Source organism: Homo sapiens, chromosome 1, assembly GCF_000001405.40.
Source record: "Homo sapiens chromosome 1, GRCh38.p14 Primary Assembly".
Classification (NCBI taxonomy): Eukaryota; Metazoa; Chordata; class Mammalia; order Primates; family Hominidae; genus Homo; species Homo sapiens.
Window position 1 is genome coordinate 166,837,330 of NC_000001.11, and position 19,146 is coordinate 166,856,475.

Sequence of the window (19,146 nt, forward strand, 5' to 3'; positions counted from 1 at the left end):
CACTGTCTCAAAGACTGGCTTCAATCACTCCCCATTCAGACTCAGATAAAGTCTTATGGAGAATGGGAACAATAACAGAGCTGAGAGAATGTTAGGACAATATATGGTTCAACTCTCTTTTTGCAGATGAAACACCAGCAAAGAGAAGCACAATGACTTAGAAAACCACTTAAACATGAGTCTGTAGTGTATTGTGCCTAGGCCAGCACGTTGCTCCTAGAGTAAGTCTTGTTAGCAATTACAGACCCGTAAAAAGGTGGATCCTCTAAGATCCTCTAACAGTAATTGAGATCATGGGGCTGTGGGCTCAAAGTCAAGAATTCGGGTGGGTCACTCTTAATTTCTTCCCAGGGACACCTAATCCAAGCCCATGAGAACATTAGGGCTCTCAGAGACTAAAACTCTAACATAGTAGGGTTTTTCGTGTGTGTGTGTCTGTGTGTGTGTGTGTGTGTGTGTCTATCTCAAAACTGTATTAATTTCTTTTCTAAGATGCTGGGGTGCCAGCAACATCCCTATTACTCTTCTCCCTTCCTAATGTCCTCCTCACTTTCTGTTTGAATCTGCCATTTCCTCAGAAAAATTAAGAGGGCAATGTCAATCAATTCAAACTAACATGTCACTCCTGTTCTACAAATACTTACTTTTACACAAAAATAATTGTTCATTAAAACAAAAAAGTAAATTCTAGCCTCCCTCCCAATATTTGAACGATCTTTTCCACCCACAGATTAGATCTTCTACGGTCTTGGGTTGTCACCGTGATTGCACTTCCAAGATGTGTACGTTATGTCATGCTACATTTTACGTGTTAAGAGCACAGTGCACAGTGACCTCTCCCATGACTGAGAGAAGTAAAATTCACATGTAAGTAGTAGTGGCCACAAAAACTTGGAAAGACAGGTCTTTTCCAACAGATATTCAGGTCTCAGAGACAATCTGAAGAGTTTGACGGACTCTTTCCTTGACCAAAGTTTAATCAGGCTTAAGTCCTCTTCTTCAGCAGGCCTCCACCCTGGTCCCCTGACCACTCACCCCGAACCTTTGGCCTGCCCAGCTCTATTTTAGCAAGAACCCTGCTAAGTTAGGTTAGAGAGAAATCACCACCCTTGATATCTGATCACCCTGGATATCTGATCAAATTTCTCATTCCCCCACCCTTGATATCTGATCGCCCTAGCCTGCCTTCAGCAAGAATCCTGTTAAGTGGGTTCAGCAAGAATCCCTCTAGGTGCTTGATGTCTCGTATCAGTAACTTTCCATCTACTGACCCCTTCGTTCTGCTCCTTGGCTATACATCCCCAGCTGTCCTTACTGTATTCCGTGTTAGACCTCATCTCTCCCCCCAGTGTGATCATCTTTACACCTATAGCAATAACCCTGTATAAAGTCTTCCTTACTGTTTTAACAAGTGTCAGAATAATTTTTTCTTCAACAAGTTCTCAACAAAAACCCATACCCAGAATCTTTTTCTGGAATGAAAAGGGCTTCAGGGCTTCTCAGGTCACTTTTGTTGTATTGCCCACAGAGCTGAGAGTAAACAACTCCTTTGGACGTTTTGGAGAAGAAAGGTCCTTCTATACACCCACTTCATCCAAGGAATTACATGCTTGGGATATTAAGCAACAGCTACAAAAATCAGGAAGTTCCTTCTCCATGTATATGACGAAGTTCTGGACAGGAGCCCGCTGCCAGAATACGAATACTCTTCCCCAAAGACCCCTCCTCATGCCCCTACACGCTCTTGCCGGTCTAGCCTTTCATTGCCTGAAGCACGGCGAGAACGCCTGGAGAGCTCGTCCAAGCAAGTGCAACCCGCTGGTGACTGCAAATGAGCACATGGAACTGTGCGCCCACGCTACGCTCGGTTAAAATCAATCTGGGCTCTTCCTGCCTCGTCCACGCCGAGGTCACACGCAGCACTGGAAGCGGCCTGCATCGGGCGGGGCGGGGAAGGCCGAGGGCACGGCTACCCAGGCCCGCCAGGGACTGCCCGGACCGGCCGGAAGCCGCGCCTAGAGGAGGGCCCCGGAGCTCGCGCGGGCGCCGTCCCCCGGCGCCGCCGAGGCCTGCTGACATCAGCCGCGCTCCTCCCCTCGCCTCCCAACACCCTCAGCTCCGGGCCGGACCCTCCCTCCTCCCACCACGTGTCCTCCCCGCTCCCTCCCGAGGGGCCGCGCGCACGGGAGGACGGAGAGGCGGAAAGGATGGCGCTGTGACAGCCGGGCCGGAGCCCTCGCGTCCCCACCCCGCGCCCTGGCCGCTGGGCCCGGCGGTGAGTGCGCGCGGGCGGGGGCGGCGGCGGCGCGGCCCCTCCCCCGGGTCCCGGGCGGCTGGGCCGCGGCAGAGGCGGGGGCGCCGAGGCTGCGCCGCCGCCGCCGCCGCCTTTGTTGCGGGCCCGCCGGGGAGGCGGGCGGCGCCGGCTCTCGCCGCCCGGCAGGTGCGCTGGGGCCGGGAGGGGGCCAGGTGGGGAGGCGGGCCGGGCGGAGGGGGCAGCGGAAGCGCTCCCGGCGCGGTTCCGCGGAGAAAGGGAAATGGGGCAAGATGGCTGGAGAAATCCGAACGCGCCCGGGGGCGCGGCGGCGGTGGCGCAGGCGGGGCAGGGCGGGCGGCGGCCCTGGTTGCGGCACCTTAGCGCGGGGAGGCGGCCCCTCCCACCTCTGCCCCGGAGCCGGCAGGGAGACCGCCGCCAAGTTCGGGCCCCAGCTGCAGGCATCTGAAGCCTAGACCCATCCATGCCGCGTTCGCCTATCTTTTTTGGAAATATCGAAGGAACCGACTTTGAACTCCAGAGGGATCTTTTCTTTGGAGGTTCCCCGATGCAGCCCTCAAGATGCATCCGCACTCCACACCTAGGAATTGCCCGCGCCCATAGAGGGCAGGAGTGCGGCCCTTTGTACTGGCCAAGAGTCAGCGAATAGAGAATTTGCAGCCCAGAGGCAATGGGTTATTTCCCTGTCGGGGTGGGCCCCAGCCGATTTCTGCACCTTTTTGGGTATCCAGGCATAACCCTCACTATGTTTCACTGACTCCTGCGTTTGCAAAGTCCCTTAAGGTAGAATGACCCTATTTTCTGAACCAGCTCGTGGACAGAACCTTTGAATTTGGAAAATCCAGGCAATGGGCCTACTGAGCCAACCGCTCCGCCCATGCTTAACTGGCTTCTAGCACCCATTCCAGTTGAGTAAGTGTCCAATCTGTGTTCAGACACCTTCACTGATAGGAAATCAGCACCTTTCCCCTGCCTCTGATTCCTGTTTGGGTGGCACTGGCTGTGAGAAAGTACTGCCTTTCTCACTGCTTAAAACCTTTTCCAGGAGTATTTATCCACTGGCCGGCCTCTGTTCTGCCGTCCAGTCTCTACAAACCAGTCTGGGTTCTCTTCCCCAGATAGCTTTTTAAATATTTGAAGGCAGCCAGATACGTTATCTACCCACAGCCTCTCTTATCATAATTAAACATGTCACCCTGTAGCTTCCTGGCCGACTCTTGTTTCCTTACTTCCCTCCAGCGGGAACAGTGCTTGGGGCTAAAGAGGTTTGTATGTGGCTCAGCCTCCCCCATCATAGGCTTTGGGGAGGTCACAGTGACACCTGGTTTTTCTGAACCTGAATCTTGCTTGCAGAGATGGAGTCCACAGCCTACCCTCTCAATTTGAGCCTGAAAGAAGAGGAAGAGGAAGAAGAGATTCAGAGCCGGGAACTAGAGGACGGCCCGGCAGACATGCAGAAAGTACGAATCTGCTCTGAGGGCGGATGGGTAAGTAAGAAGGTGTGGAGTCCACACAGCCAGCAGATGCAGGCCTGAGAGCCCAGCTTGCTTTAAGTCTCCTCCTCAGACAGACGTGGGAAGTAAAAATAGCCCAGCCCGGTGTGTTTGCATTCCTGAGAAAACAGCTCTGTGGCTTTAAAAGGCAGTGCAAAGAATGGAGGAGGTGTTATGGAAACAGTCCCTCAGCCATGTAGCTTGTCATCGTTCAATTGGAAGTCCTAGAAGCCAGGACCTTGTCTCTCTCGTTCACCCACTTATCCTGCACTGCGTTTGATGCCAGGCACATTGTAGGCACCAAGTAAATGTTTGTTGACTTACTGCTGGTTGAAGGGAACCATTTTAAATAAGACTCGAGTCATTGGGTTGACATGAGAGGTTAGGCTAGTTGGTTCTGTGTGAGCACCTCTTACCACAGTTGACACAGGAGAGCTGCCTGTCCAGCTGACCTGGATAGAAATGGTGGGCAGCAGGGAATACAGAGATTCAGGGTATACACGCAGAATAGTATGATAGAGGTCGGTTTATACAAATGCAAATGCAGTAGATACTTATAGTTACAGATAGTTATTCACCGTAGTTACTGGACTTCGTGGTAATTAGGCATGAATAGTAAACATTTTAAATAAGCAACAAATTGACATTCCTTTTCTCTGCTTATTTTCCGTTGTGTATAAACATTGTCAGTATACATAGTATCCTTTGCTTCCATGAAGAGCCCCTATCCATACAAGCATGGTACTTCTAAATTGTTCCCTACCAGAGGAGAGAACTGGGATGCAGAAAGATTATCTGCCTTGCCCTAAGGTTACACATGAACACTGACATTTGTTCTTCAAAACAGGTCTCCTGAGCTGCACCCTTAAAAGTAATGCATTTTACCATATGTATGCTATACCTTAATTTAAAAAAAAAAAAAACAGTGCAACCACAGGCTCTCAGTTTGCCAGTCTAGCTGTGGACACCGCGCTGCCTTTGTCTCATCAGTGTTCTTTGCCCACCACATCCTTCTTCCCAATTCTGATCCAAGCAGGCGTCAGGTCTATTTAGCCTGGAACAAGAACTCAAGGCAGTCAAAACTCAGGGCTTTGAGGCTAGATTGGTCAACCCAGAACATCTAAATGGAGAGCCTTGGAGAACAGGTGCAATGAAAGTGAATGTTGGGACAGTGAGGAAGGAGCAAGATGAAGACCAACCATGCTTAGGTGGGAAAAGAAGGAAGTAACCAGAAGGGCTGGAGGAGGGAGTCCAGCAGCTGGTGGTGCTGGGGATTGGGCATTTGTGGCCTCCAGGCAATCAGCCATCCATCCACAGTTACCAAGCACAGTGCTGGGCGTAAAGAGAGACTCTTTTCCTGATGGAATTTCCAGTCTTGTGAGCAAGGCAGGAAAGTAAACATAAGTAATAGTAAGCACAGTGTGCAGAGTGCAGTGGTGGAAGTCTGCAAGGATGCACCAGGAGCCAAGATGAGGGGATGCCTCATTCAGGCTGAGAACTCCGGGGCTTCCTGGACAAGGCCTAATCTTGAGCAGTGAGCAATTTTGCCCCCACCCCTGGACATTTGGCAACATCTAGAAACACTACCCCCTTTCCCCACCCCTGGATATTTGGCAATATCTGGAAACACTTTTGTTGGTCTGACTTGGTGGGGGTGCGTTGGGGACTGGGAGATCCTCCTGGCATCTAGTGGATAGAAGCCAGGGGAGCTGCTAGATATCTACAGTGCACAGGATGCCCCCCCACCACCACACACACACACACATACACACACAACAAAGAGGTAACTGGCCCAAAATGTCAGTTGTGCTGAGGTTGAGAAACCCTGCTCTAGAGCATTAGAAGAAAAGAATCTGTTTTTAAAATATGTATTTTGGTTATAGAGAATTATGTTAGGGTGATCAGTGAAAGCTTTTCAAGCATAAGAACTATGATAATATATTAGGATAAAATTCCATAGAATTGAAATAGAAATACAATTTTAAGTAGAAAAAATAAAAAATGTGCTTTGAACTGAGTCTTAGTCATTATGGAATCAGCCAAGGGAAGGGAAGGGGGTTGCATTCCAGGCAAGAGGACAGCACAGGCAAAAGCACTGAGGAGAGGAGCTTGGGTGCAGAGTTAGGAGCAGCTCCTGCAGCTGGAACCTGAAACTCATGGCAGGGAGTGGAAGGGGATCAGGTATAGGAGGCCAGGCCAGGGGCCAGAGCCAGCCAGGAGGACATGCAGTGCTACGCCAGCGAGTTTGAGCTTTCTCCTTAGCTCTGTGGAATGAGGCCTTAGCCCATCTTTCTAAGGGAGGCCTCAGGCTCTCTACAGCCACCATGCTAAGGCCTGAGTGGCCTGCTAAGAAAGCAAAGCTTTGGCATCAGACTTTCTAGCTCTGTGACCTTGGACAAGTTACTTAACCACTCTGTTTCCTTACCCATAAAAGTGAGGTAGTGATCCCCATGTCCCTAGTTTAGCGGATTCAGTGAGAGAATATATTTATATGATTGAGTGTCCTATACAGTGCTTGGCCCATAGCAGGCACTCCATCAGTGGATCAGTACAAACTACCCCAACCCCTTCCCCCGAGATCCCTGCGTCTTTGCTGGGTGGCTGCAAGGCTTTAGCGAGGCTGTGCAAGGTGTAAGCACTTTACAACATTTACCCTTTGAGATAGCATTGGAATGCCAACTTCCTGAGCAGAGCAAGGCAGTGCACACAAGCTAGAGGAAGAACACTTATCCAGTGAGCCCTTGATCTTCTGAGGAAAGGGAGGAGGGCAGGGACTGAAGGTCCCTACCTGCAAGGCCAAGGAGGGGTGTCTGGAGGTGGTACACAGACTGCCTGACTTCTCAGTTTTGCCCGGGGCCGGCCCTGTTTACCTTCTGCTATGTTGAGCCAGATAAAAGGCCTCTGTGGAGCGAGGGGAGGCCTGCGCAGCAGGGCCTGGCTGAAGGATCGCTCCATTCTCACAGAGGCTTGCTGTGAGGAGAATGTCTAAGCCACTACACTGTGCCTCTGGAGCATAATGTGGGCTTGTTTGAAGATCCTCCGTGGCTCAGTCATTAATAGGAAGAGATGAATCCTGCACCAGCCCCCAGCTTTCTTCCTGCAGCTTCAGGGCTCCTGGTACCTGATGTTTTTACCAGGCCTAGAATATGTTACCCCCCCTAAGAGTATTGATGGCCCCTCTGAAATGACAGGCATAGACAGTCCTGTTCCCATTTTATCAGCAAAGGGAAAGGGACTATAAATAGGTATGACCTAGATCTGGAACTTCCCAGGGAGAAAAAAAGGCCAAAGAGACAGTTCTTTAAAAGCCTGGGAATTGGGAAAGGAGTAGGGTGGAAAATTCCTGGGCTGACTGGCTTTCCAGGGTGAGGAAGTCTGAGGAAAGCCTGAAGACGAATCCATTTTACCTCCTCATATTTCACACTTAGGGATGTTTGTCCATTCTTACTCCAAAGAGTAGGTTTGGTTTTATGACAGATAAAATTTAATGATTCTTTGAAACAGTTCCAAGTAGAACAAGAGAAGGGAAATCCAGAGATTTGCCTAGATCGTATATTCAAAAGCACATTTTTCAGTGACTACTAGCTACAGGAAGTGTCCTCGGCTTAGGGAAGCAAAAAGGAGTAAGTACAGGTCCTGCTTTCAACAAGCTCAGATTCTAGTGGAGGGAGCAGACAAGTCAACCAAAAGAATTCTGCAGTGTGATGAGTGCCCCGGGAGTGTGGAGCCCAGGACATTTCAGGGACATGTGGGTGTGCTCACAGCGTGGCACAGAGTGGGCTTCCTCGGGAGCAGGGATTTTGGGCTGAGTCCTGGAAGATGGGTGGGTGTCAGCCAGACCAAGAAAGGGGAGGCCCTCCAAGGCCAGGGGAGAATATGGGCCAAGGTGTGGGGGCGTTGGGGAATGGTTGTTCAGGGAACTGCACACAGCTGAGTACAAGTGGAGCACAGAGCTGGGGAGAGTTGAGGGTTAGTCATCAGGGAGGCAGCTGTGCTCGGTATTGCTGGATCCTTGGGGTCAGGCGGTGGTGGCCCCAAAACGCAACCCCACCATTTATTGGCTATGACATTAGCCTGGAAATGAGACCTCTCCAAGCCCATATTCTCCTTGATTAAGTAGGGGCATGGTGGCTTGTGCCTCTAATCCCAGCTACTAGGGAGGCTGAGGCAGGAGAATGGCTTGAACTCAGGAGGCAGAGGTTGCAGTGAGCCAAGATCGTGCCACTGCACTCCAGCCTGGGCAACAGAGCAAGACTCCATCTCAAAAAAAAAAAAAAAAAATAGGCGTATCTACTCCTCCACAGGCCCATTGCAGGGAATAAATGAAGCAGTTACAGGCCCTTTCCTAGTACGTGCTTCCTATGTATGAGGTGCTGTGGAGGTGGGGAGAGAACAAGGGGGCTTCCTTGGGTCAGGGAGGAAAGGCCAATGTATGTAAGTGACTGTTGGCCTGACCCCTGAAGTGGCTGCAGGCTATATAGCATATGGACACTAATTTTCTAAGCTAAGGAAAAACAGTATCATAATCACCCAGACCCAAGATACAGCTTTGGGAAATAGCTTTGAAGGCAAGAATACAAAATAACCAGCCTGAAACAAGCCATCCAGTGCCTTCTTATCACTAAATAGGATGAGCTTTGGAGTAGGATTTTTAATGACTGTAATAAGAAATACAGTTAAAAACAAAAAGAGGAGGTTGGTTTGGGTGGCTTGGCTGCCTTGGGCTACTGAGGAGCCCCCTGGTGCTGGGCCAGGAAGCAGAGGAACAGGGGAGGGATGCAGTCCTTTGGGCTTTCTGCCTACCTGGTCCAGGATCAAAGTGAATGAGTTTGCTCTGGCATCTCATTACATATATTAAGCTGTAATTAGCCCTTCTTTCTTCCTCTTCATGCTCTTGTGGATTGGAAAGGCCAAATAGGGCCCCTTCTCTCAGTGGCTCCTCCCTGGGCAGCTGTGGGTTCCAAGTCTAACACTTTGGTTAGTACCCTTGGAAATGCAGTGCCCTGGAAACCCACAAAGATCCCACGGAGGGCAGTGATCCTATTCAGATTTACAAACCCAACTCACCCCGCCCGGGGCCGAGGGTCTTTTTCTGGGGTGGGAGGGAATTGGGGGTGCTTGTGTTGGTGGGACACTTTGTCTGGGTGTGGGTGGCTTAAGTCTTGGGTCAGAGGTGAGCCGTGAGCAGCTCTCACCACAGTGCATGAGGGTGCGATGTCCCATGTCCTCCAACCGGTGATCATGGTAGGGAGTTAGTTTTCTTCTCAAAGTGCTGCTTACCTTATCTGAACTGAGGGTGGCAGCTGCTGTGGTGGGCACAGAAGGACTGTGCTCTTGCCCTTGTTGGCTTCCAGCAGCTGTATGAATGTGGACAGTCCGTTTTCCCCTGGGTCAGGGTCCCTCACCTGACCTGTGAGAGGACAGGCTGTGCTGGGCTGTCTGTAAGGTCCTGTCCGCTCTGAAAGTCTGTCTGCATATGCCTGTTTGTCATTGTGAAAGGGCTGTTCACTCTTCCAGGTACCGGCCCTATTTGATGAGGTGGCCATATATTTTTCCGATGAGGAATGGGAAGTTTTGACGGAGCAACAAAAGGCCCTCTACCGGGAAGTCATGAGGATGAATTATGAAACTGTCCTGTCCCTGGGTAAAGCTGTGTTTTCCTTTGTCTCCTGGAAGCTCTGAGCCCAGAGAATTGTTTCCATGCCTCTCTTCTCTGGTATATCCAATGTCCCTCTCTCCTGAACTTAGACTCTGCCTCCTCAATGTCTGTGCCCATTTATTCCAATTTTTGATTTGGGCAGTATATCAATATTGTGTCACCCTACTCGGCAATCCGTGCTGCCTCAGAACTGCCCCCATTCAACCCAGGCATTCACATTTAAGGATAAAAACCATGTAACCTTAGAAATGTCACCATGGATCTGGGCCTGTGCCTCACTGTTCCTTACGAGAGAAGGCAGGCGTTAATGTTACCCTGTCAGCCTCAGAAGTTTGGGGACATACCCTCCCAAAGACTGTTTGCTCCTCTCCCCAACTTCCACCCCAAATTGATATCACACATCTTATCAGCAGAATGTAATCATTTGAAGAGATTTCCCAGTTTGCTTATACAGGTACCAAAATGTTAATTGGATCAGCAGCTGCATTCACCCTTCTCCCTGCTAAATGCAGTTCTTTTATTGTTGGTGCCAATACCATCCCTCATTAGGAGAGATCTACCCATTCCTTTAGACAGACCTATTTTCCATTATCTTTTTTCTTTAAGTATCCCTGAGCCTTTTTCCCCTTGTTTTTCACAAAGAAGGGGAGAGTGGCTCTTAAGTATTTTGAAGTACTTATTTTGGTAGTGCTCCAGGACAGTAACACACAGCTGTTACCTATTTTATTTCCTATAAACAGAATTCCCATTCCCTAAGCCAGACATGATCACCCGTTTGGAAGGGGAGGAGGAGTCTCAGAATTCTGACGAGTGGCAGCTCCAAGGAGGCACCTCTGCAGGTACTACAAGTAAAGCAGTTCAGCGTCCATCCAGCTGGGAACATTGTGGAGTGGGATTTTCAGTGTACATTCCACGGGGTATTTAAGAGGTAGAAGGATTATGGGTTTTGGAGTTTTGAAATCTCCCTCTTTGCAGTGCTAAATGTGTGACAGTGTGTGACAGGCAACTGCTTTTACCTCAGAGCTTCCATTCTTCCTCTATCAGCTCTGAGTAACAAGACTTGATGTATGACCTTGTTTGTGGATGAAGCAAAATGAGGCTTGTGCAGCATTTGGTCTAGTGCACCTTCTGGCTGAACAGGGCTCCCTCAGTGGCGTACCATGTGCCTCTGCAAACTAAGAATAGTGAGAGGAAGCACACTTCCTGAGTTACCTGGCTCCCTGTCCATCTCATACTGGATAGAAAAAGCAATAGCAATCATAGCATACATTTGAGCAAATGTATCTAAGAAGTACCTAGTCCTTTGTCAAGAAAAATGGTTATTGAGGCCACAGTTGAATAAATATAGCATTGCCTCCAGACGGCCAAAATAGTTTTATCTTTTCTCCGGAAGTAAGAGTTTAAAATGCCATATTTCACTGACTCTGAGACATGTTTTTCTCCCATTGCTTTACTGTTTCTGAAATTGAGAATGCCTCTTAAAATCAGTGGCATGTCATAGCTTAATTAGTAGTGTTTTCTTTCTTAATGGCACATAATGATGCATCCTACAACTGATGACATTTTAGTTTGGGTGAGATAGGGTAATTTCCCCAAATCATATTCAACTTCTGTGACCACCTTCTAAATATAAAGTGAAACCTGGTTGCACCATTAATGTGCAAGAACTAATTTTCTGCCTTATAAGCTTAACTTTGCTAAGTGTGGTTTTTGCTGTAGGTTTTCTTGGTTCTAAAGGGATATGATTCAGGCCATGATGCATCTCTGTAATATTATATGGTAGTATGGTTAACATTTGGCTTCTCATTCACATAAAAAGTATTTTGATGCAAACATGGCCCCCAAATTATTTGGTCCAAGCTTGGTTCCTCTGTTGAGTTCCCAGCTCTGCCACTTTCTGGCTTGGCTACCTTGGTGCATTATGTAACCTCTGTAGCCTCCCCTTCTTCATCTGCAAAGAAGGAACAGTGATACTTAGAGTTACTCTATTAAGAGAACTAGGTGTGGGTAGTCCACATAAATTGGCATATGGAAAAGGACTTAGGCAATGTTACCTGTTATTAAAGTTACTACTTTTGGTGAACTTCAGATTAAGGTATTCTTAGCATTTCAACCCCCAAAAATCAGGGTATAAGCCATTTTACTTACTGGCATTATTTTTGCCCCTCACTATTTGTCTCCCAGAAAATGAAGAATCTGACGTAAAGCCTCCAGACTGGCCAAACCCAATGAATGCTACCTCCCAGTTTCCTCAGCCTCAGCACTTTGACAGCTTTGGCCTCCGTCTGCCTCGGGATATCACAGAGCTGCCCGAGTGGAGTGAGGGGTACCCCTTCTACATGGCCATGGGCTTCCCAGGGTATGACCTCTCGGCTGATGACATAGCTGGGAAGTTTCAGTTCAGCCGGGGCATGCGCCGCAGTTACGACGCAGGGTTCAAGCTGATGGTAGTGGAATATGCTGAGAGTACCAACAACTGCCAGGCTGCCAAGCAGTTTGGAGTATTGGAAAAAAACGTTCGAGACTGGCGCAAAGTGAAGCCACAGCTTCAAAACGCCCACGCCATGCGGCGGGCATTCCGAGGCCCCAAGAATGGGAGGTTTGCTCTGGTGGACCAGCGTGTGGCCGAATATGTCAGATACATGCAGGCCAAAGGGGACCCCATCACCCGGGAGGCGATGCAGCTGAAAGCTCTCGAAATCGCCCAGGAAATGAACATTCCAGAGAAAGGGTTCAAGGCAAGCTTGGGTTGGTGTCGAAGAATGATGAGAAGGTATGACCTGTCTCTGAGGCATAAAGTGCCCGTGCCCCAGCACCTGCCGGAAGACCTGACTGAGAAACTCGTCACTTACCAGCGCAGTGTCCTGGCTCTGCGCAGGGCGCATGACTATGAGGTAGCTCAGATGGGGAATGCAGATGAGACGCCCATTTGTTTAGAGGTGCCATCACGGGTAACTGTTGATAACCAGGGCGAAAAGCCTGTCTTGGTCAAGACACCAGGCAGGGAAAAACTGAAAATCACAGCAATGCTTGGTGTCTTGGCTGATGGGAGGAAGTTACCACCGTACATCATTTTGAGGGGAACATATATCCCCCCGGGGAAGTTTCCCAGTGGGATGGAAATTCGCTGCCACCGGTATGGGTGGATGACTGAAGACTTGATGCAGGACTGGTTGGAAGTGGTGTGGAGACGGAGGACAGGAGCAGTGCCCAAGCAGCGAGGGATGCTGATCTTGAATGGCTTCCGGGGCCATGCCACAGATTCCGTGAAGAACTCCATGGAAAGCATGAACACTGACATGGTGATCATCCCAGGGGGTCTGACCTCACAGCTTCAGGTGCTGGATGTCGTGGTCTACAAGCCACTGAATGACAGTGTGCGGGCCCAGTACTCCAACTGGCTTCTGGCTGGGAACCTGGCGCTGAGCCCAACCGGGAATGCTAAGAAGCCACCCCTGGGCCTCTTTCTGGAGTGGGTCATGGTCGCGTGGAATAGCATCTCAAGTGAGTCCATCGTCCAAGGGTTCAAGAAGTGCCATATCTCCAGCAACTTGGAGGAGGAAGACGATGTCCTGTGGGAAATCGAGAGTGAGTTGCCAGGAGGAGGAGAACCACCAAAAGATTGTGACACCGAAAGCATGGCTGAGAGCAACTGAAGGGAAAGGGAAAGGTAACCACTCAGGAGTAGATACTCAGTGCCTTTGCTGACATGTCTGTGTTCTACAAACACCTTCTCTCCATTATTTTTCTGTTTTTAAGTTCCCTTAGAGCCTACAGTGCAGTAGTGTAGATCAGGGGTCCCCAACCCCCAGGTCACGGACCATACTGGTCCATGGCCTGTCAGGAACTGGGCTGCACAGCAGGAGGTGAGCGGCAGGTGAGCAAGCATTACCACCTGAGCTCCGCCCGCTGTCACAGCAGCGGCATTAGATTCTCATAGGAGCACAAACCCTGTTGTGAACTGCACATGTGAGGGATCTAGGTTGCAGGCTCCTCAATGCCTGAGGATCTGAGGCGGAACAGTTTCATCCCAAAGCCATCCTACCACCCACTACCCCGCACTTCCTGGGTCCCTGCAAAAATTGTCTTCCATGAAACCAGTCCCTGGTGCCAGAAAAGTTGGGGACTGCTGGTATAGATAACAGACCATTAGCATTTTCTCCTTTATATGAAACATTTATTATTTGATTTATTTGTGTCTATTTTGCTCTGTGGCTTGGACCCAGAAACACTTGTATAATAGGTGAAATGAACAAAGAATGAGCTGCCAGAACATCTGAGAGCTGTAAAGTTAAAATTATTTGGACCCAAAGAAGCATAGTCTGACGTTGTTCAGTTCACACAAAATTTTGTCTGAAAAGCCAACTTTTTTCTTTCCCTTTTAAATTATGCTGAACATTTAGGGCCAGTATGTGTAACTGACATGCTGGGACAGTTGTACTCACTTTTGCTGGCCTGTAGGACTGTGACATAGGGAGAACACTAAGTGTGTCCTCCGGGCCTCGGGTCTCAGTCCTGGAGCTATCTACAGTATGTTACCAGCGAGTAAGAATAATAGCTTCTACTTGCTTTTCCCTACAGAGTTCAGGAGTTTTAAAACGTCATCTTAGTCTCATTATGACCTTCACATGGGCTATGACAATAATTTCCTGTAGTCAGCAGATGTCTGAAGGAAGATATTTTTTAACTGAATCTTTACACCAAAAAAAGAAAATAAAACGGTGCGTATCTAGGACTCTAGTGAGGGCTGAGGACAATAGGCCTGGAATTTTCTGGGTTGAGTACACAAGAAGAACAGCTTTCAAAGGAAAGTAGGAATGGAGGCCTAACTGAGACAACACTAGTGAAATGACCCCACCCACCTACACCTCCAGAGAGGAGGAGGATGAGCATGTACAGCAGGGGGGACACCCACAAAGAACAAACAATTCATTTACCTGTTCGTTCTCATCTCCCTAATTATAAATTAAATTGATCCTCCAGACAGTGTTTTATATGAAGGAAGAAGCCACCTTTTTTACAGAGGACCTGAAACCGTCAACCATCTTCACACATTCTTTTTCTTTCTTTTAAAGTATAATTAGGTATTTCCATCTTCCTTGCTTTTTTCTCCAAATGAAATGCTAATGGGAGCCTTATTTTACCCACTTCAGCTATATAAGTCCATCTGTGTTTCAAAGAGTGACTTATGTCTCCTGCCTTGCTTCCAAATTAAATTGTACTCATATTGCTGAATCCCATTGTAATTCTGGGATCCCTGGAATTACAATGGAGCAAGAAGTTCTTACTATTACATTCAAAATCACCAAAATTGCTTTTTTTTCCCCCTTGGGTCCTCCTTGCTTTGAGAAACCCCATGAATCCAGCCTCCCTTTTCTGCTGACCCTTATATTGCCTGCATTGGATATCAAACTGAATTACATTGAGTTTCCATCTTTTCTTCATTTACCTTTTGCTTTTCCCTCTCCTTGTTAGATAACATTTTTGTGCACTTTTAATTTCCTAAGCTCCTTACCACCTCAGGGACATGATTAAAAACTTCCAGAAGAGGAAAGGAGAAAAAGCTATGCTAAGTTGCATTTATGAATGTTGGCCTGTAATATTGGTCATGAGCTTTTGCTCTTCTAGTCTGCCACAATTCTCTCTGCAGCTCCTGAGGAAGTGATGGGAGTAGACAGATTCACAGTGAACAAGAGATTTGGGAGACCAAGTGGGCATAAAACTACGTCTTGGCCTCTATTTGGAAATCTGAATGATGGAATTATTATGTTTGTTAAAAGTTATACCAAAAAGCCAAGGGTTAATTCATTTAGGTTCTCTCTGTTTTCCAGCAAATGGAACTCTGATTTAAACAGCTGGGGATGAAATTCCTCAAGATGATTATTCCTGAAAGTGTGGATGCGCTGGATGCGCAGGGAACATCAGGAAAAGGCCACGGGGCTCTGAACAGCCCCGGTCCAGACAGCAGCCTGTACATCCATCCCAGGACACAGCCCAGCCCCTCCCCACACCATACAAGGTATCAGAAAAGTCTAGGACCTATCATTTCATCAGAGACATGATCAGAAAAGAAACTGCTTCTGCCCCATTTCTTGTTTTGGAGATTACTCCATCTGTCCATCAAAAGAAACCTGTAAATATGAAAGAACAAAGGTTATTTCCTGGAGAAAAGACAATTTATTCAACACCAACGAGGGACTCATCATATGGGCACAACTCTGGTGTCCTTCTATGGAGAAAACCTCAAGTAAAGTTTTATTCTGCCTTTGAAAATGCTTCCAAAAGTAGACCCTGTCCCCACACAGGTCAAGACTACAGAGAAGGCTTTGTAGAAATGTGTCACCTATGTACACCTGCTACTTACACATTTCCTCTTTTGGAAAAATGAGATACTTAGAATAACAAGAAAATTAAGACATACTGGCCTGGTGCCAGCAGATGGCTTTTCTATAGACAAACTAGGTTAGTGTGGAAGATATAGGTTAAAATAAACTATGCTGTTTTATTTATCTTCCCAACCTGATTGGCAGCTAGACTTTTTTAGGGTCTCATTTAATGGCCCTGTTTTTTTCATTATTATATTTAATGATAGGGCAGGATTTCGTATGCAAGCTCTTGTTTCTCAGGCTGCCTGCAGAAGAAGTCGCTATAAATTATCTGTTGTCTACATGGTACAAGGCCCATTGACTCATCTGATGCTTGTTTTGTTAATTTCTTTAATATTTTTATCACGGGGCAGTGGGAGGGCTTGGGCTTTTAGCCACAGCTGTTTTAAGACTTCTGATCTCCTGCCCTGCAGGAATAGGTGGGAAGTCATTGAATTTTTACACTATAGTAATTTGCATTCCCACATAAGTTTGAGTGTTACGAAAACATTCCTTTAAAGGGATCTGTGCTACACAAAATATGCCAGGACCTCACAGACAAAGCCATTGCTAGAAATGTCATTCCAATGATCAGATCTGGAAACAGGCTGCCATAACCACTTTTCCTTCTTGTAGACTCAGCTCACCTGTATATTTAAACTGTTCTTGGCATCTTGAAACACCTATTTCTACTCAGGTACTCATTGTCCTGTTACTGATTCACCTTTCTGATCCTTTTCAACCAGTTTTCCCCCAAGGGGGGAAATTTTACTTAACCTCTAGTATTTGAACAACTCAATATTTGAATTGTTGCCCCATTTGCTTTTACCTGTACTGTATTCTTGGTCATCTCAAATGGCGTCTAAACCCAGCTACTTTGCATTCCAGAAGTTTCCATTCCCTCCAATTCCACCTAATTTTTCATCTGTCCTAGTTACTGGCTCTTTCTTCATGTCTTATTTCTCTTGCTTTGGGAGCTTAAAAGATTTTACAAGACCTAATTTTGGGTTCCTTCCTTGGAGCCATAGTTACCCTGCCAAGAAGAGTAGAAAATGGGTTCAACTCCTGTTTCGCTCCACCAACACCTCTGTGAGTCTCATCATCAGCTGAGCGATGATGCCTTACAGGTTGCATAGCACTGGAACTTTCCTAGAGTAACGGCTCTGCTGCCAGGGTTTCTCTGGGCTCATTCTTCCACTGACTTAATTATGATCTATGCCTAACAGAGCCCCAGTACAACTATTTTGCAGAATGGCTGTTACCCTAGAATTACTATAGCACATATTGAGATATAGTTGTACTCCCTAGTAGATAGGAACTGACCCCAACAATAAACTTTGATAATAAAGACAATAGGCTATGGTGATTTTATTTCTTTACCTATTAGCATTGTGAAAAGTTACATTCAAGGTATTGGCTACACCTTATTCTCCATCCGGTTTGGTACCAATATATTACATCTTTCAGTCAAAAAGTGTTCATGAGATGCAGTGTAAGTAATATTGGTATCTGTGAAGACACAGGGAAGAACGTGTGCAGTGGGGCAAGTTTGACATAAATAGCTTTTTTCCTCAGTCATGTTTTGTATGCTCTCAGCAGTGGTACATTACCAAAATCACATGAAAGAAATCCCATAAAGGGATCTGAATTTTAAATGAAAGTATGATGAACCCGCAAGTCTTAATTATGCACTTTTAATAAAATTAGTCCTGACAATTTACAGTGCCCATAAAGTAGTAGTTGATTCTCCAGGAATAATCTGGCAGTGTTATTTTTCCTTTTCAACCCATCAGCATTAAATGCTGAGCCACTCTCCAAGTCTGACCCCTAGACTAAGCTTCCTTACTCTTACTCTTCCTCCCAGAGGCATTTTGGAATGAGTCAAAGGCATGGTAGGACACGGCATTTACCTGTGGTCATCACTTCAGGCAATGGAAAGGAAAAGTGTTTGTCCTTGGTTGATCAGAGAAGTGGGTGATAAGAACGTGCTAAATAACAAACCTGCACACTTGTACCTCTGAACCTAAAATGTTTTTTTTTTAATTCAGAACAACAAAAGAACATGCTAAGCGAGTCCTCCCACCTGCCTGGTAAAATACAGCCAGCTTTATCACACCTGGTTTTGCACAGTGATAAATTCCTGCAGGAAAAAATAAGTTTTATTCTAAGTCTGAAATTATATGGTTTCCAACAGCTTTTTCCCTCGTTAAAATAATTATTTTTCTACATGATGCTTGATAATAAGCATTTGTTTCTTAACCTAATTAGAGAAGCGATTGCACTCGAGTCCCCACAGCTGGCAGTGGTGTTACAGATGGAACCAGCCTTTGGTGGACAGAGTTCAGATGTTTCAGGGGCTCTTGTGAAAATGCTAAGTATTACTGTTTCTACCTTACTGCCCTGCACTTTACCCCATCATCTCCCCTCCTTAGAAAATGATTTCATAGGAAAATTGGCATGGAGAGCAGATAGTAGAGTGTAGACCTGAAATACATGAGGCAAAGGCAGTCTTCCAGCATTCTATGGTCCCACCAGGTGGGTAGGTGACTAGGAATTCAGGCCAGGTCCTAGAGAGTAGTGAGAAGTTTTCCAGTTTGCAGTTTCCTCTGTGCTGTATGTACAGCCATACAGCCTATGGAACCTGACATTGCAGTGGGCAGCAGGACACGGTCAAGGCTCCTAGCTGCCTCTCCATCTATGGAACTATGAAATTTCACACATATTCCCTAGGCAGCATTAAGGCCCAGGTATATTGAGTAGTCCAAACCAAAAAACTATATTCGAGTATCAGTTTAAATTCTTCCAAGCCCTAAAAATTCTTACGTAGTTTCTCACCTAAAACTAATGGCTTGTGCCAAGAACTGAAACTAAGCTATTGATTTTTTTTTAAGAAGTCTTAATCTATACATAAGAAATTACATACCTGGCCAGGTGCAGTAGTTCAGGCCTGTAATCCTAACAAACACTCTGGGAGGCCAAGGTGGGCAGACTGCTTGAGCTCAGGAGTTCATTACCAGTCTGGGCAACATGATAAAACCGTGTCTTTACAAAAAAAAAAAATTTTAAATTAGCCGGGCATGGTGGTGTGAATCTGTAGTCCCAGCTACTTAGGAGGTTGCGATGGGAGAATCACCTGAGCCCAGAGGTCCAGTCTGCAGTGAGCCATGATCACACCACAGCACTCCAGCTGGGGTGACAGAGTGAGACCCTATCTCAAAAAGAAAAGAAAAAAAAAAAAAAAGAAATGGCATACCTTAGTTGGAATCTGCTTTTTAATCTTTCTCATCTAGTACATTATTTTGAGAAGTCTCTGCCAAGCCCTCATAGAGCAGGCAATTTTTGTATTTCTGTAGAAGG

At 47.0% G+C, this 19,146-nt stretch overlaps 1 protein-coding gene across 8 annotated transcripts, besides 2 other annotated features; it reads left to right on the forward strand.

Moving 5' to 3' along the window:
• Positions 1,902–2,331: a silencer, noted in NCBI's record as "silent region_1511". NCBI's record gives its function as "represses an Ori minimal core promoter by ATAC-STARR-seq in GM12878 lymphoblastoid cells {active_cell/tissue: GM12878}" and the evidence as "EXISTENCE:reporter gene assay evidence [ECO:0000049][PMID:35858748]".
• On the forward strand, positions 2,146–19,030 carry POGK (pogo transposable element derived with KRAB domain). Of its 8 annotated transcripts, XM_011509815.3 has the most exons (7): positions 2,146–2,275; positions 3,626–3,759; positions 9,283–9,409; positions 10,165–10,263; positions 11,609–12,411; positions 12,466–13,094; positions 15,256–19,030. In XM_011509815.3, the coding sequence occupies exons 2-6, from the start codon at positions 3,628–3,630 to the stop codon at positions 13,078–13,080; spliced, it is 1,776 nt and encodes a 591-aa protein (XP_011508117.1). In that variant the 5' UTR covers positions 2,146–2,275; positions 3,626–3,627; the 3' UTR covers positions 13,081–13,094; positions 15,256–19,030. The 8 variants fall into 8 exon arrangements, with proteins under 8 accessions (XP_011508117.1, XP_005245427.1, NP_060012.3 ...); XM_005245370.5 differs by having other exon boundaries at positions 2,146–2,440; positions 11,609–13,094; NM_017542.5 differs by having other exon boundaries at positions 11,609–13,094.
• Positions 2,432–2,671: a silencer, noted in NCBI's record as "silent region_1512". NCBI's record gives its function as "represses an Ori minimal core promoter by ATAC-STARR-seq in GM12878 lymphoblastoid cells {active_cell/tissue: GM12878}" and the evidence as "EXISTENCE:reporter gene assay evidence [ECO:0000049][PMID:35858748]".
• Positions 19,031–19,146: the final 116 nt, after the last annotated feature.